This window comes from Homo sapiens, chromosome 22, assembly GCF_000001405.40.
Source record: "Homo sapiens chromosome 22, GRCh38.p14 Primary Assembly".
Taxonomy (NCBI): Eukaryota; Metazoa; Chordata; class Mammalia; order Primates; family Hominidae; genus Homo; species Homo sapiens.
The window spans coordinates 32,869,561-32,894,786 of record NC_000022.11 but is presented as its reverse complement, the minus strand read 5'-3'; the positions used below and the strand labels follow the sequence as shown (position 1 = coordinate 32,894,786).

The following is a 25,226-nucleotide window of genomic DNA, read 5'->3' as shown; positions in this document are numbered from 1 at the left end:
TGGCTCAGGCAACCTGTGTTACTCAGTCTATAGATCCAAATGCAAATCTCATCCAGAAACACCCTTACAGTCATACCCAGAATAACGTTTAATCAGATGTTTAAACACCTGTAGCCCAGTCAAGTTGACACATAAGATGAACCATCTTGCTGTCCCAACTTGACTGCCACAGGTGGAGGCATCATGTCAATGTCAGGTCAGGATGACGGGGTCGTGCCTGGTGGCTCTTCTCCTCTCAGGCCTCCTCCTTTAAGACACTTTGCCAGAAGTCCTTAGCAGATTTCTGTGTTGGCCTCATTGACCAGAATTGGGTCACGTGTCACTAGCACTAGCTACAAGGGAGCCTGGCAAGATTGAATATCTGGATTTCCACCCTCTGCAATAGAAAGAGACAAAAGAGAGGAAGGTTGTAGTTGTTGGGTTAGCCAACCCACAGCATTTATCAGAGCAGCCTGTGCAAAGTCACAGAATCAGTAGTAGGAACAGAATTAGGACCCTTGACTGTTTTCTTCTTCTATAATATGTAAAAGAGAAGGACATTTTATTCTCTAGGCTACAATTTGGTGACTGAAGCCTTTACTCCACAGTTCTCCAATTTCTGTTTCTTAGCAGTGATTCACCAGGCCCTTGCTCTCAGTTTATTGCGTAGAAGACATAAGTATTACAAGGTGAAGACTTTCAGAGGATAAATGACACACAAGTAGGCCAGTAACAGGGTCCCAGGATCTTGTCTACCCTAGAACAAGACTCGATCCAGTTGGACCAATGCTTATTGAGTGTCCACTGTCTGATTGTCATAGTATAGGCTGTGATAACATTGCAAGAAAGAAGGTACCATCATCTGTGCTCTTGATGAGCTCACAGCTTGGTGGAAAACCAAGTTGTGAAACAAATGTGCACTGTTGAAGGACTGAGGGCCATGAGAGAGGAATGTATGTGATACAGTGAAGCCCAGCAAGGGACAGGCCAGCTCACTGCCATGTTCAAAGAAGGCTTTCTTTGCGAAGAAGGGGATATTGAAGCCAACTGGAAGGATGAGTGGGTATTTTCCAAGCAGACAAAATAGAGGAGGGCATTCTATTCCAAAGGAATAGCATATACAGCATGTGGAGGTGTGGACCAGTTGGGTTTGCTCAGGTCTTACCAGACTCTGGAGTGAAAATGCTCCTTCCCCACACGTGGACAGTCACTCAGCTACAAAGTGCTTATGCAAGTGTTCTCTTATTGGAGTTCCTTAATTCCTAATCTCCACTTACTGCCAAACTCTACTGATTTTTAAGACTCTACTGAAGGGTTGACTCCTGCAGGAGACAATATCCTGGGCCCCTGTTACTGTGTCAACTGACAAAGGCTCCTTTCTCTGTTCCTGTGGTGTCCTCACCATTTTCCTTACCATGTTGGCAATGTCTCTGTCTATGTGAGTCTCTTCCAGGGCTCCATGAGCTCCGTGACAGCAAAGAATGTGTCTCATGCATCTCCACAGCCCAGTGCCTACGGCAGTGCCAGGTATCCAATTAATCCCAATGTATAGTTGAGGAATGGAGTGAATGGATAAGTCCTGGGAGGGGGGCAGAGCAAACATTGATTATTCTCATACGCAAATGGAGGAAGTGCAGATGAAGAAGGGTCAGAGTGTTGGGCCCCTGGTCATAAAAGTGAGAGCGAGACTAGAACCCAGGCAAGCTGACCCTGATTCAGATTCTTTCTATTCTACCATGTTGCCTCCAGAGGAAGCAGGGCCCATCTTTTTAATTTTATAGGGTCCAGAAATAGATTCCAGACTATCAGAATTCTTGGGCATTTCCTGGTTTCTTCTTCTCCCAAGCTTCTCTTTATGGTCCTGATTCTCATATTCTCTAAGCTTCTCCTCTCTTTTTCCCTTAAATTCACTTCTCTAAGTTTTTACAATTCACTCATTCACCTAGCCTACCCCAGAAATAGGTAGCTTCCCCCAGATAATCTCCAGGCTTCAGCAAACTGGCATTCATGCAGCCTCCCTGATAACCCAGGGACAAAGAACTCTTCATCCTCTCCCTTGCTAAGACCTACAGCAGAAGACTGGAGATGGGAGATGGGTGGGAGGTGATTCTGGGGCTGTGGGTGGCTGTGGTATCCAGTTTATATGTCCACCTAGCAGAATTGAATTCCTAGATCACCTCTTTAAAATAGATCTCTCCAATACTATACTTTCAAGGATCAGAAATACATCTCTCTCTCCCATGCTGGTACCAGTGTCTGGTTTTTACTACTTAGAGTCTCGTTTCCTTCACAGCACTCATCACAATTTGTAATAGCATGTATGTGTTTACATAGGTTTTGGGTTTTGTCTGTTCCCACACTATCCTACAAAACCAAGGATCACGTCTATCCCATTAACCTCTGTATCCTCAGCTCCCAGCACACTGCCTAGAATAGGTGCAGAGCGTGTATTTGTTGAATAAGACAATGACTGTGCACAGGGTGGCTTTTTTATTTTTTATTTTTATTTTTTGAGATGGAGTCTCACTCTGTTGCTCAGGCTGGAGTGCAGTGGCGTGATCTCAGCTCACTGCAACCTCAGCCTCCCGGGTTCAAGCACTTCTCCTGCCTCAGCCACCTGAGTAGCTGGGATTACAGGCGTGTGCCACCATGCCTGGCTAATTTTTTGTATTATTTTATTAGAGATGGGGTTTCACCATTCTGGCCAGGCTGGTTTTGAACTCCTGACCTCATGATCCGCCCGCCTCGGTCTCCCAAAGTGCTAGGATTACAGGTATGAGCTATGCGCCCAGCCAGCTTTTTATTATTATTATTATTATTATTATTATTAGCTAAAAAGGAATCTTGAAACAATACCTGGTCTCCAAATAATACCTTTTATATAGACCTGGAATTTACTTCCAATTGTCTGATTTCCTCTGGTCCTCACAGCAGTTCTGTGAGGAAGGTATTAAGGTTCCTAGTATTAAGGAAGGAAGCTGAGGCTCAGAGGGCTTAGTAGCTTTCTTAGAGTCACATTAAGACAGGAAAAGGGGGCTGAATGAGTTATACGGAAGTATGTATTGAGCACCTGCTGCCTGCCTTGGTGTGCGTGGCCCTGAAAACAGGTCCGTATATTAGGCATTGCCATCGCTATGGTGTAATTTTTACAGATAAGCAAACTGAGGCACAGTTTAAGCACCTTGCTTAAGCAGGAATGGCTGGTCCAGGATATGAACCGAAGTCGGATGGCAAGCTCATTGGTTTCCACTATTATCATTTGCAAAGAAATCTGGATGTGAAGAATTCTATAAATCCTCAGAGAATGCTGAGCGCTCTTCAGACCTCCTTACAGAGAAGAGGGAATCACTCAGTGGCTGGAGTGGGATGTGGGAAGACCTGGGAAAGTACAAAGAAGTGACAGGATTCAGAAGCCATGGGAAGTATCAGAAAAATCCATCAGGGCTCAGCACAAGCAACAGAAAGTGTTGTAGGGATTTTATGCAGAAAGGTGCTTAAGACGTGGCTTTAGGTTTCGAGAATGTCATCAAAAGGACTGGAGAAGTGGCCTCCAGGAAGCTTCTGAGCCCTGCAAAATTGACCCCCCCAGATGGCCAACGTGTCAATTCAAGAGCCCTCTGCCATAGCTGGGATTCAGAAAGCAAAGTCTGGAAGCTGCTGCCACCTCAGCTCCTCGTTGGTACCTAAGAAACTGGAGCAGGGCCCTGGACAGAAATCACAATCCCATGCAGTTAGGTCTTCAGGAACTTGTCTGCATGCAGGGAACAGCCAAAGAGGTGGGAGGTGATTGTGGTCTCAGTTCTGCCTCCCAGAGTCCAGCAAGTGCTTCCAGTTGGCTGAATCTGGTATTGTTAGGCTCCCAGCTGCAAGGGGGTCTAGGAAATGAAGTTTTTACCATTGCATCCTTTGCAGTCCAAGAGGACACGCTAGTAGGGAGGTGCAGTGCCAGCCAAATGAGCATCCATCCCAGGAGACACAAGGGAAGCTCTCTCTCTCTCTATATATATAGTTATTATAAATCAATGAAGATGGATATTCTAATCTAAAAATAAGCAGTAGATATAAACAGGCAACTTGCCCAAAAGAAGAAGTGGCGTGTGAAAAAACAGGTTAAAAATGTGCTAAATCGGCCGGGCGCGGTGGCTCACACCTGTAATCCCAGCACTTTGGGAGGCCGAGGCGGGCAGATCACGAGGTCAGGAGATCAAGACCATCCTGGCTAACACGGTGAAACCCTGTCTCTACTAAAAATACAAAAACTTAGCCAGGCGTGGTGGCATGCGCCTGTAGTCCCAGCTACTTGGGAGGCTGAGGCAGGAGAATGGTGTGAACCCGGGAGGCGGAGCTTGCAATGAGCCAAGATCATGCCACTGCACTCCAGCCTTGGTGACAGAGCGAGACTCTGTCTCAAATAAAAAAAAGGTGCTAAATCAGGCCAGGCACAGTGGCTCAAACCTGTAACCCCAGCATTTGGGGAGGCTATGGTGGGAGGACTGCTTGAGCCCAGGAGTTTGAGACCAGCCTGGGCAGCATGGGAAAATGCTCTATAAAAGATACACAAATTAGCCAGGAAAGGTAGCACACACCTGTAGTCCCAGCTGCTTGGGAGGCCGAGGTGAGAGGATTGCTTGAGCCTGGAAGGTTGAGTCTGTAGTGAGCTATATTTTTTCCACTGTACTCCAGCTTTGGCAACAGAGTAATAACCCTGTCTCAAAAAAAAAAAAAAAAAAAAAAAGCAGCTAAATCTCAATAATTACCCAAGAACAAATGGAGGAAACCACGAAATTTTTTTTTAGGATAAAAAAAAATTAAAGATCAATTTAATGTTGCTCAGAGTAGGTGAAACTGGCCATCTAGTAAAGTATTGATAAACATGGAAATTAATACAAATATTCTGAGAGAACAACATACCTTTATACATTCAAAGCCTTTGATTCAGTAAGTAAATTCCCTACTAATGACTTTTGATAAAAAGTTAGGAAAATCCAAAAAGATATAAAGGCATTTTCCCCAGAAGTCTTTGTAATATATTTTTTAAAATCTAAATGCCCAACAACTGTGAAATACTAGATACTCAATAAAAAGATCTAAAAGTTTATATTTTGGCATGCAAAGATCCCTGGATACAGTCAGTTTTAAAAAGATTACAGAATGGCATATATGTATAATTCTATTTTATTTACAAATATATGCGTTGATTTGTTTACATACTGAAAATATGAGAGGGAACACATTGACGTGTAAACATTATCTTTACATCCTGGGACTACTGCGTTTATCCTCTTCTTTATACCTTGCTGTGCTATTTGATTTTATTTTCTTTAAATAAGCACATGTCACATTTATTAACAGAAAAATTCCTATAAAAGGTTTTTTGTTTTTTTTTTTTCCTTGTGGAGGAAAACTTGGGCCCTGAGAAGCTCATTCTACCCTTACCCCATTCCGGAAGCTTTAGAAAGCAAACCCTTCCAAAGCCCCCCTGAAGCAAGAGTGTTTAGAACCCAGGAATGGAGCTGGGGGCAAAGGTGAGTAATTATAGTTGGGGCAAGAGGAGTGGTGAGGAGGGAGATGAGCTAATTTTAGCCTTCCTGATAGAGAGTTATTCCAAGATCCCTACACTCCTTTTGCACATGTTTAGCTCTGTCCTGCGGCCTCCACCCCAGTGACTGCAGGGCTGACACAGGCACTAATAGACTTCAGATTGTAACAAAATGCTTGAGATCTCTGCTGCTTTAAATAGAGGTGTTTGGCACCCTTTGGGATGCCATGTCTGGCAAAGTTGGGCTCCTCAGCACTCACCCTACTTTGAGGCCCAGTGATGAGACCGATTAGAGGGCCAGCTTTCCCTTCAACCTCAATGTGGCTAAGGCAGAACTCATCATCCCTTAAACTGGGCAATAGAGATCAAGTATCCCTCATCTGAAATGCTTGAGACCAGAAGGGTTTTTGATTTCAGATTTTGGAATATTTGCATTATCCTTAGCAGTTGAGCAACCCTAATGAAAAAAATCCAGAATGCTCCAGTGACCATTTCCATTGAGTGTCATGTCAGTGCTCCAAAAGTTTTGAATTTTGGAGCATTTCAGATTTCAGGTTTTCAGATTTGAGATGCATGACCTGTACCTCCTGCCCATGAAGTCTTCCATCTCAAATCCTGGGGGCGTCTTGCATTCCTGCTTCACCTCCTCTGTTATTTAACCTTTTTCTTCCTTCTCCTTCTCCTCTGTTAAACATCACTGATCATCAGGAAAATGAAAATACAAATTATAATGAGATGTCAAATTAAAAAGACTGACAGTCGAATCTGTCAGCGAGGCTGTAGAGTAACTGTAACCCTCCTACATTGCTGTTGGGGATGTAACGTGGTACAGCCCCTTTGGAAAATAGTTTGGCAGTTTCTTATAAAGTTACATATATAGGCACTATATGATCCAATCATTCCCCTGCTAGACTTTTCCCCAAGAGAACATGAGTTAGAACAGATTCTTAAAGCATACTGTGTGGGCCCTTTATGGAATCATATAACTTTATCTCTAAGTGACCTTAAAAATAATAACATCTAGAATAATAGTTATATCTTATTTAGTGTCTACTAAATGCCAGTCATGTTACATACATATGCTTTCCTAAAACATCCCTAGGGATGGTAATATCTTGAGACTCAAATAGCCACTCGACAGAAGCAGATATCCAAAAATAGCCAACAAGCATGTGAAATGATATTAAACATCATTAATCATCAGGGAAATAAAAATAAAAACTATAATGAGGTATTGAATTAAAAAGACTGACAGTACAAACTGTCGTTGAGGCTGTGGAATAACTAACTTTCCTACATTGCTGGTGGGGATGTGACGTGGTGCAGCCTCTTTGGAAAATAGTTTGGCAGTTCCTTATAAAGTTAAATATATAGGCACCGTATGAGCCAACCATTCTCCTCTAGACCTTTCCCCAAGAAAAATGAAATATGTTATCTAAATGACTTTTATAAGAATCTTCATAGCAACTTTATTCATCATAGCCCCAATCTGGAGACAACCCAAATGCCTGTCAACTCGTGAACAATAAACAAAATGTGGTACATGCACATAAGGGAATGCTTCTTGGGGATAAAAGGGAACAAACTACTAAGAGATGTATATTAGTTGTCTACAAACTTATCAGCTTCAAACAACACATATTTATTATCTCACAGTTTGTGGGGGCCAGGGGCTGGGCATGGCTTAGCTGAGTCTTCTGTAAGACTGACATCAAGATTGTCATCTGGGGCTCAGTTCTTATCTGGAAGCTCAACTGGCAATGGAACCACTTCCAAGCTCGCTTGGGTTGTTGGCACAAGTCATTTTTCTTGTGACTGTGAGATTAAGGGCCTTGGCTTCTTGCTGGTTATCAGCGGGAAGTTGCACACAGTTCTTTTTTTTTTTTCTTTTCTGAGACACGGTCTCGCTGTTGCCTAGGCTGAAGTGCAGTGGAGTGATCATAGCTTGCAGCAGCCTCAAACTCTTGGGCTCAAGTGATCCTCCCACCTCAGCCTCCCAAGTAGCTGGGACTACAGATGTGCATCACCATGCCCGGATAATATTGTTTATTTTTGGTAGAGATGAGGTCTCACTATGTTGCCCAGGCTGGTCTTGAACTCCTGAACTCAAGCGATCCTCCCACCTTGACCTCCCAAAGTACTGGGATTACAAGCATGAGTCATGTGGGCCTTTCCATGGGTCTTTCTATAACATGGCAGCTTGTTACTTCAAAGCAAGGGAGAACAAGAATACATCTGGGAGCAAGACTGAGACTTATCTGACGTAGCATTATCATGGGGTGCCAACCCATCTCCTTTGCCGTATTCAGCAAACCAGTCACAGATCCCACCCCCTCCGGGGGAGAAGCATGTAAGGGCTTGAACATGAGAGGCAGGGTCCTGCGGGCTGCCTTCCAGTCCATACTTGGCAGCACGTAACTATGCAGACAAATCTCAAAGCCATTATGTTGAGGAAAAAAAGACTAGAGACAAAAGAGTACACATTTCATGATTCCACTGACATGAAATTCTAGAACAGGCAAAACTAATCCATAGTCACTGAAACATCAGTGGTTGCCCAGGGCCAAGGGAATAAGGGGCAGGGGATTGACAGTAGAGGGACACAAGTCACCTGTGAAGGTGATGAAAGTATATCTTTTATTTGGCATGATGATTATATTAGTGTTACATATGTCGAAGCAAATCAAACTACGTTTCAAATGGGTGCATTTTATTTTATGCAAATCATGCCTTTATAAAGTATATATTTTTAAATGGCTCTATGAATTGCACATTTTTATCCCCTTTTTACCGATGAGGAAACTGAAGCTCAAAACGTGTCCAGAGTCGCACAGCTGGGGGAGCCGGGATCCTAAGCCAGGTCTAACTGCAAAGCCCCTTCTCTTTTCCTTTATGCATGACCCCTAATTCTCCTCGAAGCTGCCATTTTCACAGGGAGAAACGCAAGGCTTGGAGAGCTAGAGAAACATTCTCACGACCTCGCAGAAGTGACTGAGTTCTCAAGCTTATGTGTTCTGATTCCAGGTCAAGGGGTTGCCAGACCTCATTAAAGTCTTGTAGCAGATTTTAAGAGTTACTATTGCATTTTTAAAATTTACCCATGTGTGTCATTGTAAACACACTTAGCAATATTGTTCTTTAAAACACACAAGCTTATGAGCCAGTTCTTTACAAGAACAACATATGGCTGTCCATGAAAATAAAGGTTTCGGAAGGTGTGCTGTCTACTGTTGGTTGCCCGCCTTCTTTCATGCTTGCCAAATCCTGAGTTTATTCAGCTGTTTGGTGGCCATGTGCTTCAAGGAAACATAGGCCCCTTTCTGGTGCCATGAGGTGAATCCTGGTTCGTTTCAGCCAGCTGTGGTCATTCTGTTCCCACTGGGAAAGGTGTTTAGAAAAGGGAATATGGGCCTGGTGCAGTGGCTCATGCCTGTAATCCCAGCACTTTGGGAGGCAGAGGTGGGCGGATCACCTTAAGTCAGGAGTTCCAGACCAGCCCAGCCAACATGGTGAAACCCCATCTCTACTAAGAATACAAAAATTAGCTGGGCATGGTGGTGGGCGCCTGTAGTCCCAGCTACTCGGGAGGCTGAGGCAGGAGAATCGATTGAACCCAGGAGGTGGAGATTGTGGTGAGCTGAGATCGTGCCACTGCATTCCAGCCTGGGCAACAGAGCGAGACTCTATCTCAAAAAAAAAAAGGAAAGGGAAGATGATGCAGTTCTGACCAGGGAGGCCTGAGATGTACCTGCCGGGAGGATTCTGGAACATCCACCATGCTTCTTAAAAGCGACACAAGAAAGAGACTCTTTTTCATAGGCATGAGGGTATGGCCCGGGGCACCAGGGTGGCTCACTGATAACGTGAAGGAACAGTATGAGAACAAAAGTCCATCCTTGAGAACAAGAGTCAGAAGGACACAAAACATTTAGATCCTTGAGTCTGACATTGAGCCTCTGATTTACTCGGCCCTGTGATTGCCCTAGCTCAGTGATATGAGCTCATGCATTTTCTTTATTGATTTAGTCATCACTGTTATTTGCAGCCAAAATCATCTTCATATTCAGAAGATATAAGCAGATACTGTCAAAAGTCTTTTTTTTTTTTGCACCCAACTCCATGGTGCATAAAATTCTTATGAATGCTTTTATACATGACATTCCATTCAAAATTAGTGGCAGGCAATTGAAATTATACACTATGTAAGTGTTAAGATTAGTTTCATTCTCGGAAGTGTTTGTTAATAGCTAAAGCTTAGAAACAACCTAACTGTCCATCTGTAGGGAACTGGTTAAATAAATTACGGTCGAGCCACATAATGAGATACAATTATAAATAAAGAAGCATCTCCATTTGTACTGATATGAAATGATTTTCTTTTCTTTTCTTTTTTTTGAGACAGTCTCGCTCTGTCGCCAGGCTGGAGTGCAGTGGCGTGATCTTGGCTCACTGCAACTTCCGACTCCCTGGTTCAAGCTATTCTCCTGCCTCAGCCTCTTGAGTAGCTGAAATTACAGGCACGTGCCACCACACCCAGCTAATTTTTGTATTTTTAGTAAAGACAGGATTTCACCATGTTGGCCAGGATGGTCTGTCTCCTGACCTCGTGATCCGCCCGCCTTGGCCTACCAAAGTTCTGGGGGTTACAGGAGTGAGCCACCGCACCCGGCCACGAAATGATTTTGAAGATATGCTACTTTGAAGAAAAACAAGTTAGAACAGTATACAGGAGACTTTGAAATCCAAGGTCATAGAAAAACATCTGAAGTTTATTGCCTCAATTCTTTATGTGGATTGGCTTATGTGATCCTCTTAGCAACACTCTGAAGTACATGTTATTGTTACCATTCTCTTTTTGAAAGATGGGTAAACTGAGGCATGGAACTGTTAACTAGTGTTCCTGGGATCCCACAGTTGTTTAGTGGTAGAACTGGGGCTTGAACCCAAAGTCTGTGCTCTAAACATGCAATCAATTGACCCCTGGGGCTATTGGAAGAATTAAATGAGCTCTTGTGTGCTTAGCCAGTGTTGGCCTTAACCAGTAGTTCTCAAAGGGTAGTTCATGCTCCAGCAGTTTTAGAAATTTGTTAGGTGTGTATTTGTTGGGAAATGTGTTAGCTTAGAAACGTTTCCCAGGTTCGGCCAGACTTTGTTTTACATGGTAGCTGCATGCTGACGTGTTTCTTGGCTGGTATGAGTATATGAAGTCCCACCTAGCAGGGGAAAGAATAAGTCCCAGCTAGAACTTGAGGAAACATACCTAAGTGTTGTTACCACCTTGCTTTCTTGTCCAGCAGCCATTGATTGGCCACCACTATGGACTCAGCAGGAAATTATACTGTAATCAGTGATGTCTGATGTGGGCTTAGGAGATACCAAGATTCTACTACCACTCTGAGGCCGGCTGTTGGATCTGTACACACCAAAACTTGCCAACTTATTCCCCTCATCAAACTTAGCTACGCCATAGGACAGGAATCTCAAACCCTTTCCTTCCTTGGTGCATTTCACATAATAGATGCTCAGTAAATGTGCACTGAATGGAGATATCATCACAGTTCACCTGGTAGCAGCTATCTTTTTTTAAAAAAGAGAACCTAACAGGAGTTCTCAGCCTTGGCTGCACATTCCAATTACTTAGAAAGCTTCTAAAAATCTCCAAACCCAGGTGGGCACTTCAGGTCAATTCTATCAGAATATCTAGGGGCAGAGAAGAGGAGGAAGAACTAGTTTTGAGAGCTCCTTGGGTGATTCCAATGTACAGCCAAGATTGGCGAGCCACTAAACTAGAATGAGGAGGGTTGATCTGACAGCTGCCAAACCAGTAAACACACACAGCCCCAGACACAGTGGGTAAAACCCAGAGGGCTTTCTAGAAAGCTGCTCCTACCCTCTGCTTCTTTTGATGGGCATCCGACTGAGCTGGAAGCCATCAAGATCCTGTCTTAAGAGGTTCCCAGTTTCCTGTCCACAGTGGAGGGTGCAGCTGGAAGCATTTATGCTGGAAGCCCTTACTGGGTTATGGTCCTAAAAATTACTGCCATATGTCTCCAGCAGGGAGGGCAGGGTCCACATTTGTTCCCTGCACCCTCTGCAGCCTCTTTATGTAGCTGCTCAATACTCACCCATGGGGGCCCCCTAAATAGCTCCCTTTAGTTTCATAATTTTATTGAGCTTCTAGATTCCTTGCAATTGGCCAGACCCTGGAAATTCAGATATAAATTCAACATCACCACTCGCTGGTGGAGTTCACAGCCTGGAGGGGGAAATGGGAAGTAAATCAACTGCTAGGATGTGACACAGTCAGGGCCTGGTGGAGAATAGTTCAGAGAAGCAAGGGCTTAGAGGAGCTGGTTGGGGGGCGGGGGGACTTCAGAAGCCTTCTGAGGAGAAGTGGTAATAGCGCTGAGGCTTTTTTATTGTTTTCTTTTTAAATATTCATATACATATTGCAAAGTTCGGAATAATCTTACACATAGATAGTTGAACACACTACTTTGACAAATATTAACATTTTGCCATGTTTGCTTCAGATCCTAAAAAAAAAAAAAATTCTGAACTATTTTAAGGCTAGAAAAAGTACAGAGAATAATTTAGCAAACACTCATAAACTAAGGTGGTTAAGACACCCGCTCTGGAGCCAGGCTACTTGCATCTGCCGTGTGACATTGGAGAGGCTGCTTGTCCTCTCTGTGCCTCTGTCTCGTTTAAACACACACTTCAAAGGGCAACTGTCAGGATCAATTAAGGTAATACTCTGAAAAATACAAGTTCCCAGCACTCTTAAATGCTAACTGTTGTTTCCCTTATGTTCACAACTGAGTTTGTCAAATCTTAACATTTAGCCGAATTTGTTTTAGATTTTTTTTAATGAAAAGAAATATAATACCATAGGTACTTTTAAGGACTCCTGTCTACACCCTTCCCTGCACTGATGACAGACAAAATGTTAGCCAGGCGGTCAGAGTGGGAAAGTCCATGTTAGAACATAGGGACAGGGAAGGCCCTGGCTTCTGAGGAAACCCTCTGATGTGGTCAGAAAGGAAGATGACCTGACCGATGGGCAGGGGAGGAGGCTGGAGAGGCAGCCGCAGCTTGTCAGGGAAGACCATCAGGCGTTTCACCTGACAGCCCAGGTCCCGTCACAGACAGACGTCACATCCTGCCCTCCCCTGTCTCCCAGGAAACCCTCGAGGTTCCTTTTTTTTTTTTTTTGAGACAGAGTCTCGCTCTGTCGCCAGGCTGGAGTGCAGTGGCATGATCTCGGCTCACTGCAGCCTCTGCCTCTTAGGTTCAAGTGATTCCCCTGCCTCAGTCTCCGAATAGCTGGGACTACAGGCACATGCCACCATGCCCAGCTAATTTTTGTATTTTTAGTAGAGACGGGGTTTCACCATATTGGCCAGGCTGGTCTCGAACTCCTGACCTCAGGTGATCTGCCCTACTCGGCCTCCCAAAATGCTGGGATTACAGGCGTGAGCCACTGTGCCCGGCCTCAAGGTTCCTTTTTCACATCTTTCCTTTAAAAAAAAACAACTATCAAACAATGGATAAAATAAAGAAAGCTCACCCACTCTTGCCCCTCAACCTGGAAAATTCCATCCTGTGTCAGCTAGCTTTGAGGGAAGATGGAGAACCTAGGGAACCAGCGAGAAGTGGCTGGGCCACCTGAGATCAGCGCCACCTGGGTGCTCTGGGGGCGGAGATGGGTGATTTAGGGCTGTGGCCCAGGCAGGAGCGTTTAGCATCTTTTGGGCCCAGCTTCTCAGTCTTGCACTGAGGAAGCAGCTTGGGAGGGGGTGCCCTACCAGGCAGATATTTCCTGCTGAGCGAGCTGATAAGTGAGCCCTCTGACTAGTTCAATAGTTAACCCGACAGAGCACAGATGTGGCCTGTCAGACAGAGATATGTGTGGGGAAGGCCTTGGGTATAAGTACATATTAGCGCCTGGCCTGGGTTTGAAATGTGCTCTCCCATCACCCCTCGGCAGTACCATCATTTTTCATCTCAAAATGGGCTTTCCCCTTCCCCCACTCCTCTCTCCTCCACTCCACTGCCCCAGCATCCGTTCCAGCCGCTGCCGAGGAACAGCTGCTCTGAGGCCCATCTCTCATCAGCTGCCTTATCTCTCCGATGAATAATGTTCCCCTTCCCCGAGCAGCAGCCTGGCAGGAGGCCCGCCCCAGCGCTGAGCAGGCTGCTGACAGCGCTGGAGCTCAGGCAGCTGTCGGAGAGCAGGGCTGCCCCAGGCCACCACGTGGGTGAGGGCTAACCCCTCTGCCTCCCGGCGACATGCCACTTGAGGCCCCATTGCCCTGGCGAGCTGCAGCTCACAAACTCAGCCTTTCCAAGCACATCTCAGCAGCCCCTGGGTGCAATTGCCATGCTGGGTGCTGGGGAAACAGGCATTTCAGACATGGGCCCTGTCCTTCAGTGGCGAGGGCTGTTTACGAGACGCGCAACTTGTACCTAACAGTTCAGACCTCTGTATTTAGTAGTTCTTAGGAACATATTAACTACTCCAGGTTTCAGTTATCCTCATCTGCAAAATGGGCTAGTAATAGTGGAGTGTAAATGCTGGTCAGTTCTCTGCTCACATCCTCTTTGCCAGCCAGTGCCCCCAGCGGCTCCAGGTGTCATGGTAATGCTGTACCCGTGGCCTTCTCCATTTCTTGGGCTGATGGTAACTGCATCCCTGAGACGGCTGAGAGGGTAAACCCTCTCCACCACCACCCACCAGGGGGTCAGTGACTGATTGCTCTTGGGGATACAGAAGCCCAGCGCTCTTTCCTCAAAGTGGGACAACTCCATGGCACTGTTTTTGCCCCAGAGCCCCCCTGTAGACCAGGCCAAGGCCAGAGCTTCTCTAAGACAATATCCCTCCTTGGCTTCTTCCCCTTCCTTGAGCTACCACCGTCACCCCTCACAGTTTTCCTGAAGAGGACTCCCTCCATGAGTCACTGGCTTGCAAATCCCTACTTTAGCCTCCACTTCTAGGGAACCCAGCCCAAGAGAAGTAGCTACTTTACAGGGGTTTGGGGTGAGGATGCTATGAGATCATGTTGAAATGCCTTTTGCAAGCATCTGGCACTCAGCAAGTACCCAATAATGAGTAATCGTGATTCTTACAAACCAGTAACACCTGACAGAATGTAACAGGGGAGCTCAGATGCACAGCTACAGTGGGAGGTGGGAGTCAAAAACCTTGGCTTCAAGTTCTGGCATGGGAGACAATCATCCCAGGAAGGTCCCCCAGGGGTCACATAGCCCAACTCTCCTTTGACCAATCGGGAACCTGAAGCTGAGAGAGGAGAAGCAACAATCTCAAAGACACAAGAGCAGAGCTGGGACTAGAAGATGTCTTGATTTTTCCCACCACTCCTCATTATTTTAACCACTTTCTGATCCTCTGTTTTCAGTTATTTTTTTAAAAGGGTTGTTGACTTTATATGGACCAGGACTCTGAGAAGAGAAGCCATTTCCATGTGGATCCCTTGAGTACCTACTATGTGCTTAACACCGGCTAGGTACTCAGGGAAGGGGTCACAAAAGTATATTCCTATCCTTACTGCTGTGGTCTGAATGCCTGTGTTCCTCAGAGTTCAAATGTTGAAATCCTAACCTTCAATGTGATGGTATTAGGAGATGAAGTCTTTGGGAAGTGATTAGCCATGAGGGCAGAGTTTTCATGGATGGGATTAATGCCCTTATAAGTAAGAGGCCCCGAGAGAGCTCCCTTCCCCCTTCGACTATGTGAGGACGCAATGAGAATGTGCCATCTACAAACCAGAAAGCAGGTCCCCCACCTCCCCAGCATCACATCAGCTGATGCCTTGGTCCTGGACTTCTTAGCCTCCAGAAATGTGAGAAATAAATTTTTGTTGTTTTTAAGCCACTCAGTTTATGGCATTTTGCTGTAGCAACTCCAAGTCTGTCTCTCCAGGATCTATAAATGTGCCTGGCACATATTAGTGCTCAATACATTTTTGTTAAATAAATGGAATAATTAATTAATCAGTCCGTGTCTTGGCAGATCCATGAAACTTTACCTCCCTGGGTAGAAAATCTGTTTAAGGGTATGTGATGCTCAGGCAGATCTTAAAGAGACTGCAGCTGCAGAGTTTCTAGACACTTAGAGATTGCAGAACACTTTACTGTTTTCAAAGACTGTTTTCAAAGTGTGTGTGTGTGTGTATGTGTGTGTCTGTGTGTGTGTTGGTTACCTTTATTTTTTTTAACCAGTCAGTATAGTGATTTTCAAAAATTTTTTAAGTGCATTGTCAACATTTAAGTAATTGAGAATTTCACATAAATACCCAGATTTAGGTATCTTTTGAAAAGTCACAAGGGCCATGCAGGACCCTCATTCCCACATGGCCATAATGGCTTAGACCTTAGACTGGGCCCCATTTGCTTATTCCTCACTCCTGGTTTCTCCCTCCTCATCCTCCACAGAGGCTTCCATTAGCTGCCCTTTGTCTTAGTGGTTGTGCCCTCCTACAGAAAAGTGAAATATACTTCATACTATTGAGTGACAAAATGAAAGATATGTGAAAGGACATGCCTGCTTCCAAAAAAGGTTGAAGAGAGCATTGTGGAAATGAAGGATATTCTTATGTGCTTTATATGAAAACAGAGAGTGTGTGTGAGAAGAGAAAACCGAAGAGGCCCACCTCACTCAACCATGGTGGTACCTGCTTGGCCCCCTGGGGTAGTGGCAGGGAAATCACATAACACTCAACACTCAGAAGTATGGACCCTGGACTAGGCTGGGGCTACAGAGAGGAATAAGATGAAGGACTTGTGTTGAGGATTTAGAAGCTGAAGGTCTGTTAAGGTGTCTCAAGCATGAGGCATTGGAGGAGAAAACCAGAGTGGAAATGAGGAGTGGAGAGTGTAGGGACCAATCCTAGACACTTCTGGAGGGAAGACTTAGCAGCTCTGGTGGCTCCATACTTAAGGAATGTCAGGGAGAAGAACTGCACATGACTTCAGGGTGACATACGCCCAGTTCCTGGGAGCACGACAGACCTTTAACAGAAGTCCTCAGATCCACTTTGGGGGAAGCTGATGACTTGGGGTCCAGTCACATTGAGTTGGAGGTGATGATGAGAGGTTCAGGGTGGTGGAAGGTTCTGGTTGCACGGTGATTGTGCACACGGACTTCGAAGCCCAAAGACCTGCACTCCAGTCCCAGGTGGACACCTTCTTGGCTGTGCTTCATCTCTCTATGCCTTTGTTTCTTGAAAAATAAAGCTATTATTATCGTATCTACCTTGTAGAGTTATCATGAGGATAAAGATAACATAAGTAAAATCCTAAAAATTATTCCTGGCACCAAGGAAGTGCTCTATAAATCTGAATCACTTTCATTATTGCCTATGAGGACAAGGTAAGGGAAGTCCCTGAATGGAGATGATTCCATGAAGCAGAGAACCAAAGATTGAGCCTTGGAGGAGCTCTTCTCTTGGAGAAGAGCTGTAGTTAGGGAGAAAACAGTGAAGGAGCTGGGAGTTGGGAAGCAAGGGCGGAGGGTGTCTTCGAGGCAAGGTGGAAAGGGTTTGCGGAGAAGGGGGACAGTGATCATGCCACAGAAGCCACAGAGGACAAGAGGAGCCCTGCAGCAGGGCTTCTCTAGCAGGGTGCATTTCCACCCAGGGGACACTTGGCAATGGTGGGAGACATTGCTTGTTGTCACAACTGGGCATGGGAGTGCTGCTGCGTCTAGTGGGTAGAGGCCAGAGATGCTCCTAATATCCTACAAGGCACAGAACAGCCCCCCACAACAGAGAATTATCCAGCCTGAAAATGTCCACAGTGCTGAGGTTGGGAAACCCTATTCTAGAGCCAACAGGCTGTGAAGCTTGACTCATGGTTCCATCACCAATAGCTGCGTGACCTTGGTGAGTTCCTTAGCTGCTCTGTGCCTCGGATTCATGGTAGGTTTTCCTTGTTAGGTTTAAATGAGTGAAGTTATACAGAGGGCCTGAAGTCTCATGGTATTTTACTAGAGCCTCATTGTGTTTTAGTTATAATTAGAAATTGGGTAAGGTAAGGACACAGAAGAAGCCATCTGATCTGGGGGCTTCACACTTAGAAGTGACCTCGGAGCAATTGTATTGGGGTGGAAAGGGACTAACAGCCAGGAGCAGAGGGCACATTGGAATTGGGGCCAGAGGGCACAGACTGCCTTGTCCATCAGGCATAGCAATGGACAGAGGAAGGGGAATGACTAGTTATGGCTGCAAGGCCAAGTACAGGGGACTTATTTCTCATATCTATCTATCTATCTACCTACCGTCTATTTATCTATCATCTATCTACTTATTTATCTATCTATTTATGCATGTGTACCAACCGAAAGTTTTAGTAAATGCACAAACTGCGATATAATGAAAATGGAAATTTTCAAAAGAAGAGAAATCACCTGCCACCTGACTACCTTAACAAATGAGTGGTTTTCATCTCTCCTTCCAGGCCTGTCATTTTTACAGTGCTTTAGTCATAAAACAGGTCCTCTATTCTATTGTTTTATGTCACATGAAATTGTACCATAAGCATTTTCCATGATGTGACTCCACTGTTTCATTTTCCATTTTTTTCCAGAATGAAGATAACCTCATTGTTTTTTTCCTGATTGTAAAAATGCTCTGTGCTCTTTTTTTTTTTTTTTAACAATGCAGGCAGTACCAAAAAGTATGAAGAAGAATGTAATAGTTCCCATTTCCCATCTCACTCTTTAAGGCCAGCATTTTGGTGAACATCCATCCGAACAAATCTCCACGCGTTTATCAATTTGTTGACTTACTCCTTCTTTTATGTAAATATGAACATGATTTAACTGCCAGTCCATTTGGAACCTTAAAGTGAAGGTTTTTTATTGTTGGGGTTTGCTATGGTCTGAATATGTGTGTCCCCCCAAAATTTATGTTGAATCCTAACGCCCAATGCGATTAGGAGGTGGGGCCATTAGGAGGTGATTAAGTCATGAAGTCATCAGCCCTAATGAATGGGATTTGTGGCCTTGAAAAGGGACCCCAGAGAGCTGCCTTGCCCCTTCTGCCATGTAAGGACACAGTGAGGAGCTAGGAAGGGGGCCTCAGCAGAGACCAAATGTGATGGTGCCTCGATATTGGACTTCCCAGCCTCCAGAATGTGAGAAATGAATTTCTGTTGTTTATAAGTCACCCAGTCTATAGTATTTTGTTCTAGCAGCCCAAACAGACTAAGTCAGGGTTGTTGTTTTAGGAAGTGGGGAATGGGGCCATGCATGGGTGTACGCCAGAACAAAGGAAGCCAGCAAGTCCTGAAAGATACTGGAAAAGGGAATAGTGGGCACGTGCAGTGTGTTAGTTTCCTGAGGCTGCTATAACAAAGCACCACAGGTTGGGTGGCTTAAATAACAGAAATTCATTCTCCCATCATTCTGGGGACCAGACGTCTGAAATCAAGACTCCTATGCCATGCTCCTTCTGAAGGCTCCAGGGGAGGATCCTTCCTTGCCACTCTCTAGTTCCTGAAGGTCACCAGCAATCCTTGAAATTCCCTGTATTATAGACACATCACTCCAATCTCTGACTCCCTCATCACATGGCATTCTCTTCCCCTGTGTGTGTCTGTTTCCGAATTTCCCTCTTCTCCTAAAGACATCAGTCATTGGGTTAGGGTTCACTCTCCTCCAGTGTGACCTCATCTTAACTTGATTATATTTGCAAAGGCCCTATTTTCCAAATAAGGTCACAGTCACAGGTACCAGTGCTTAGGACCTCGACATATCTTCCTGGGGGCAACAGTTCAACCCATAACATGTGGGGTTCCCAGGGTGACCAGGAGGAAGAGGATAGAGCAAGGACAGAGATTCAGGAAGGAAGAGACCGGAATAAAGATACCAGGATTGTGAGGCTGAAACGAGACAAGGAAGCTTCCTTCCTCCAGCAACTCGTGTCTGTGTTTTATTAACCTCCTAGCACTTTACAAAGAGGGCCCTCGGATTCAACAGAGAGCCGGGCTGTCTGTAAACCCCACCGGGCCCCTTCTCCACCGGTGTGCATCTGGCAGCTGCCATGGGGGCCCCACAGGCCTCCCTCCTGCATCCTGTTGTCTGCTCCTCACCAGATTCTTGGTTGGCTGCCACCTAATTTCTTTTTGGCCTGGGCTAATTTCTTGCAGTCCTCGGGCTGGCGGGAAGCATCACTAATTCCCAAAGTCCTTCCATATGGGCGATTCAAACCCCTCCATCTGCAAAGCGTGCACATTTCCTTGGCTTTATCCTTGCAGAATAGTGGTACCCTAAGTCTGCAGGAGCATGGAGCTTGTTTCAATGTTTTGAATTCCCCCTCCCCATTTGCTGGTTTACTCGGTTCCCTTTGTCCCCTTCCCCCAGATTTGATACCCAAGGTTGAATTTTCCAAGGTGGAGTGTTATGAAGAGTGTGGAGACAATTAAGAGAAAACGTGAAGTCTCTTTGCCCGTTGACATGGACGTCAGAAAGTCTGGAGCCTTCGCAGGCCTGGCTGGAATCAGCTCTGGGTGTGATGGGTCTCAGCATGTGAACAAAATCAGCATGAACATCACCCTTTGCCAACCTGGCTCTTGGGGACCAGGGGACAGTTATGAAATAGTGGTCAAGTGACTGAGAATAATGAGGCTTCTGCTGATTAACTTAGGTCCCAGGCAAAGTCCAGCCAAGAGCTGTTCTTGCCACCACAGACCTCTGCATATTTGAGAGAATTATTACACTTCTCCAATGGTTAAGAGTCACTTCACCTCTGGCCTCCAGCTTTTTGACGCTGCCAGAAGCATTCAGTAATCCCCCTGTGACACGTCACCTGTCCCATCTTTACCGTTAATTATTTCTTGTCCTTGATTTCCTCTCAAGTGCCAACAGCCACTTCTGAGAAAGACTTGGGATCAGGAGCCCAAATATTATAGCTCATATTACGGTTAAAGGTGAAATAACAAGAAAACCCAGCTACAACCTGCGGCCAGGACGTGCCAGTTTGTGTGAGATTAAAGGAGACCTTACCCAGGCACGAGAGACCCAGGTCTTGGGCTCAGTGGGGCTCTACGGCAGGAAGAGAAGGAAGGGGCTTAAAAGGTTGGGGGATTTTTCTTTTTACTTTCTTTTTCTTTTTTGAGACAGATTCTTGTTCTGTCATCCAGGCAGTAGGGCAGTGACACGATCTCGGCTCACTGCAACCTCTGCCTCCCTGGTTCAAGCAATTCTTGTGCCCTAGCCTTCCAAGTAGCTGGGATTACAGGTGTGTGCCACTATGCCCAGCTAATTTTTTTTTTTTGTATTTTTTGTAGAGATGGGGTTTTGCCACGTTGGCCAGGCTGGTCTTGAACTCCTGGCCTTAAGTGATCCGCCCACCTTGGCCTCCCAAAATGCTGGGATTACAAGCATGAGCCACTGCATTTGGCCGACTCATCTAATGTTGACAGGTGTCTTGCCTCCCTCCTTATCTCTTTTCCCAGCTGGTACTTCTGCTACAAATGGGATTTCTTCATGTAACAGGAAAATGGTCTCCCATCAGCCCAGCTTATATTACTTCAGTGTAGCTGGCCACTCCTGTCTTTCAGAGCTCAGATACAACACACCCGAGAATTTTCTCACAGGCCCATTTTACATCAGGTGTTCCGTCCTTAGACCAGTTACAGCCCAGGAAAATGTGGTTCTCTGATCAGAGAGGATTTCCGCATGGGCTCTGTTTCTAGAAAAAGGAGGAGTTCTGGGTACAGAGCAGATAAAACCAGCACAGTCCACTACACCCCCAACAACGAGGGCACATTCATTCAGTCGCAGGTGCCTTCCCCCTGCCTGGAATACTCTCCAAACCCAACCCACTTGACAACCTCAGCTTTTAAGACCAAGGCTTCCAGCACACACTTGCTCACACTCATCCCTTAACAGAGTTGAATCCATCCTTTGGACCACCTTATGCCCTTGTACATGCCTCAATTATTTCACTCACTCACTCACCCACTCACTCCCTCCTTTGTTAATTTAACAAATGCTGGCCGGGCACGGTGGCTCACGTCTGTAATCCCGGCACTTTGGGAGGCCAAGGTGGGCAGATCACCTGAGGTCAGGAGTTTGAAACTAGCCTGTCCAAAATGGCAAAACCTTGCCTCTACTAAAAATACAAAAATTAGCCGGGTGCAGGGGCACGTGCCTGTAATCCCAGCTACTTGGGAGGCTGAGACAGGAGAACTGCCTGAACCTGGGAGGTGGAGATTGCAGTGAGCCAAGATCACACCATTGCACACCAGCCTGGACAATATGGACAATAGAGCCAGACTCTGTCTCTCAAAAAAAAAAAAAAAAAAAAAGTGCTTAGGGCACGTTGCACCCAACTCCTCTTGGGTTGTGAGTTTCTTAAAAGCAGGAATCATCCCTGTCATCTTGGGATCTCCAACCTTTGCCAGAGTGCTTGGCCCACTGTCGAGGCTCGGTAACTACTGGAGGTCACAACCTTAAATGTTGGGGTGACTGCAGGACTTGGCCACCCCCTGGCCAGATGGAGAACCTGGGGTGCTGGGTACAGAGGGAGGAACTGAATGCCACAGGTTGCCCAGCTTAAGTCAGTAATTTCTCTATAGTCATTGCATATCCATCATACCCTAGACTTTCAAGAAGGACTCTATGCCTTCTGTAGCAGTGAATGGCAGAATTCACTCTATAACACATGCCTGGTTTGGCCTGATATATTGTGCATAGGAAGTGCTTATTTTTCACATATTAGATCTGAGACTCTTAAGAGGTCATGGTGGCCACCTTGAATTCCCTGGGGTTATGAATTTCTTCGTGGTGTTACTTGTTAGCTTGTAAGGCAACCCCTTGGTAATAAGGGGCTACTTGCTGTCTCCTGGCTACTATGTCTATCAGTCTAGTTTTCTTCTCTAGGATCGCAGGGAAAGTGATCCCTCCCCTTTCCAGTGGCCATTTCACATCATGTTCATTCATTTATTCATGTGTTCATATATGCATTCATTCATGCAATCATTTATTTAAAAACAGTTTTGAGGCCTATTTTGTCCAAGACAGTCAAGTCCTCTGTTCCCATTGAGCTGACATCTTTAGAAAAGAGAACTAGACAGTTAAGCAGCTAATCAAACAAACAGGAGAAATAAAATTGTCACAGAGCCATGAATAAAGAAAATAGGGCAAAACGAGGGTTGGGGCAAATTTTGATAGAGTAGACAGAATGGTGGCTTTGAGGACGAGGCACCTACACGCAATGTGGGAGAAGAGCATCTAGGGAATTGAAGGAAGAGAAGGTGGTCAGTGTGGCTTGTGTGGCAGTGAGGGAGGCGAGAAAGATAGAAAATGAGGATGGAAGGCTGGGTAGGGTGGTTCATGCCTGTAATTCCAACACTTTGGGAACCTGAGGCAGGAGGATCACTTAAGTTCAGAGGTTCAAGACCAACCTGGGTAACAGCAAAATCTCATCTCTACAAAAAATAAAAAATAATAATAAAATAAATTTAAAAATTAGCTGGATGTGGTGGTGCGCACCTGTAGTCCCAGCTACTTGGGAGGCTGATGTGGGAGGATCGCTTGAGCCCAGGAGTTTGAGGGTGCAGTGAGTGTGATGACACCACTGCACTCCAGCCTGAGCAACAGAGGGAGACCCTGTCTCTAAAAAAATAATAATTTAAAAAAATAAAATAAATGAGGATGGAGTGGCAGGCAACCCATTTGGGACCTTGTAGCCACGATAAGGCACTAGGGATCTCTTGTCAGAAAGAGAGACGCCTTTTGAGGGTTTGAAGCAGGGGAGTGATGTATAATTTTGTAAGAGCACTTCACATGTGGGATCTTGAGGTAGATTTCCAAATCCGTAAAGACAATGAGGAGCTTCCTGCTACTTTTATTTTGAGGAATCAGAAAGGTTCTGATTTAGAGGTGAGTTTTGGAAGCCCTGGAGAGAGAGCACCATAATATCTGGAGCCAGAGTCGGGGATCCCAAAACAAGCCATGGGATTCTCCTCTTGGAAGGTGGTCTTGGAAGGGCATCCTCTTTTTTTAGATAGCCAGGTTTGGTGTTTTTTGTTTTTCCCATGTCCCTCTTATGAATTCCCAGCAATGGGGAAAAAAAATAGGAGGCTGGCCAGCAGGAGACCTTTTATTATTTCCTCATGAAGAAGGATGGGGTTATTCTTAGTAAGACACCACGTTTGCTGCCACTGTTGTCTGTGATGGAACCCACGCTGCCAGGGAGGAGTGGATGTCTCATTGTCAGAACCAGGGCCATGGACAATGTATTTATGTGTTGTTTTTTAAGATGCACATCCATTAAAAAGAAACAGACAAGCAAGCATCTAGTAAAAACATTGCCACACATGATGGATAAAGGGCAGTATCCTTAATACACAGAACTCACCTCAATAGGAAACTGGAGACCCTATTTTGTTTTGAATGGAAAAGGATGTGAACAGACTTTTACAGGAAAGAAAATGCAGATGGTTAATAAAAAGCATTTAATTTCACTAGAATCAGACAAATGCAAACTAAAACAATAGCAGGATACAGGGTGTCTTTTGGGGGGAATTCTGTTGTCAAATTGAAAAAAATATTTTTCAAAAACTGCAGTGCTGGTGAGGCTGTAATGAGATGGACATTCTCATAAACAATTTGTGAGATGTACCTTAAAAAGGGAACTTTTTTTGGGTATCTTACAAAAAGCTTACACCCTTTAATCCATTAGTCCCACTTCTTAGGATCTATCTTATGAAAATAATTTAAAATAATGGCACTGATTTGTATATGAAATATTGGAAATAGCTTATATGATAATAGTAGATGATTGGTTTACTTAATTATGATATATCATTCAGTGAACTATTGTGTAGAAATTAAAAATTATATTTTAGAAGATATTTTTGGTAGTAGAGAAAAATATATACACTATATTATTATGTGGAAAACATTAAAATCAAAAGAAAGTATGGAGCAATTATGAATGTGAATGCATATTATATACATTGAAATTGATCATTGGATCAAAAATGTATATACAAAGGTTGTTAGGAGTTTCCTCTGCATTGTAAAATTATGAGCATTTTGTTTACTTCTTTGTACATGCCAAGGAATTTTTGTTTTTTTATACACAAAGAATGTGTATTACTTTTAAAATCAGATAAAAGTAGCAAATGGTTATAAGTGCTCCCTATTGCCCCAGCCTGGGCTGATTTTTTTGTGTTACTTAAAAATAAGGAATCCAAAAATAGTTTGATCTTTGGTGGTATGAATCAAACAATGTGTGAATCCTCCTGGGGCCCTGTGATGGAGTCAAAAGCATGTGGACTTGGAGCCAGATGACCTGAGTTCCAATGCGGCTCTCCTGCTTCTGAGCTTTGTGATTCGGAAAGTTCATAATTTCCCTGGGCTGCAGTGTTCCCATCTATAAAATGGGGAGATGGTCCAGATCTTTACCCAGGTCTGTTTGTGAGCACTCATCAGGATCCTGTCTCTAGAGGGACCTAGCAAATAGCCTGGCATGGGCTCGGCCATCAAATCCCTACTCTTGCTGCTTTCCAGAGGTTGCTACTTGAAAAAAAAAAAAAAAAAAAAAACCAAGATGTGTTGGTTGATTTGAGATCTGCAGGAACAAGAGCCGGAGCCATGAGGCTACACAGACCTGGCCCTGCTGCCTCTCTGCAGCGTATCTTTTTGAACAAGTGACTTAGTCTTCCTGAGCCTCAG

General features: G+C 44.9%; 1 protein-coding gene across 18 annotated transcripts in view, besides 3 other annotated features; it reads left to right on the top strand.

Annotated features, from left to right (window-relative positions):
- Positions 1-25,226, top strand: part of SYN3 (synapsin III) — a 550,562-nt gene that overhangs the window by 163,595 nt on the left and 361,741 nt on the right. The gene's annotated exons all lie outside the window — the stretch shown is intronic.
- Positions 7,457-7,667: a silencer, noted in NCBI's record as "fragment chr22:33283107-33283317 (GRCh37/hg19 assembly coordinates)". NCBI's record gives its function as "represses an EF-1alpha promoter that drives an FKBP-Casp9 reporter gene in an ReSE screen in K562 erythroleukemia cells {active_cell/tissue: K562}" and the evidence as "EXISTENCE:reporter gene assay evidence [ECO:0000049][PMID:32094911]".
- Positions 12,471-12,765: an enhancer, noted in NCBI's record as "tiled region #12398; HepG2 Activating non-DNase unmatched - State 24:Quies, and K562 Activating DNase matched - State 5:Enh". NCBI's record gives its function as "activates a minimal TATA promoter and a strong SV40 promoter by Sharpr-MPRA in HepG2 and K562 cells {active_cell/tissue: HepG2 | K562}" and the evidence as "EXISTENCE:reporter gene assay evidence [ECO:0000049][PMID:27701403]".
- Positions 18,746-18,958: a silencer, noted in NCBI's record as "fragment chr22:33271816-33272028 (GRCh37/hg19 assembly coordinates)". NCBI's record gives its function as "represses an EF-1alpha promoter that drives an FKBP-Casp9 reporter gene in an ReSE screen in phorbol 12-myristate 13-acetate-treated (for megakaryocytic differentiation) K562 erythroleukemia cells {active_cell/tissue: K562(+PMA)}" and the evidence as "EXISTENCE:reporter gene assay evidence [ECO:0000049][PMID:32094911]".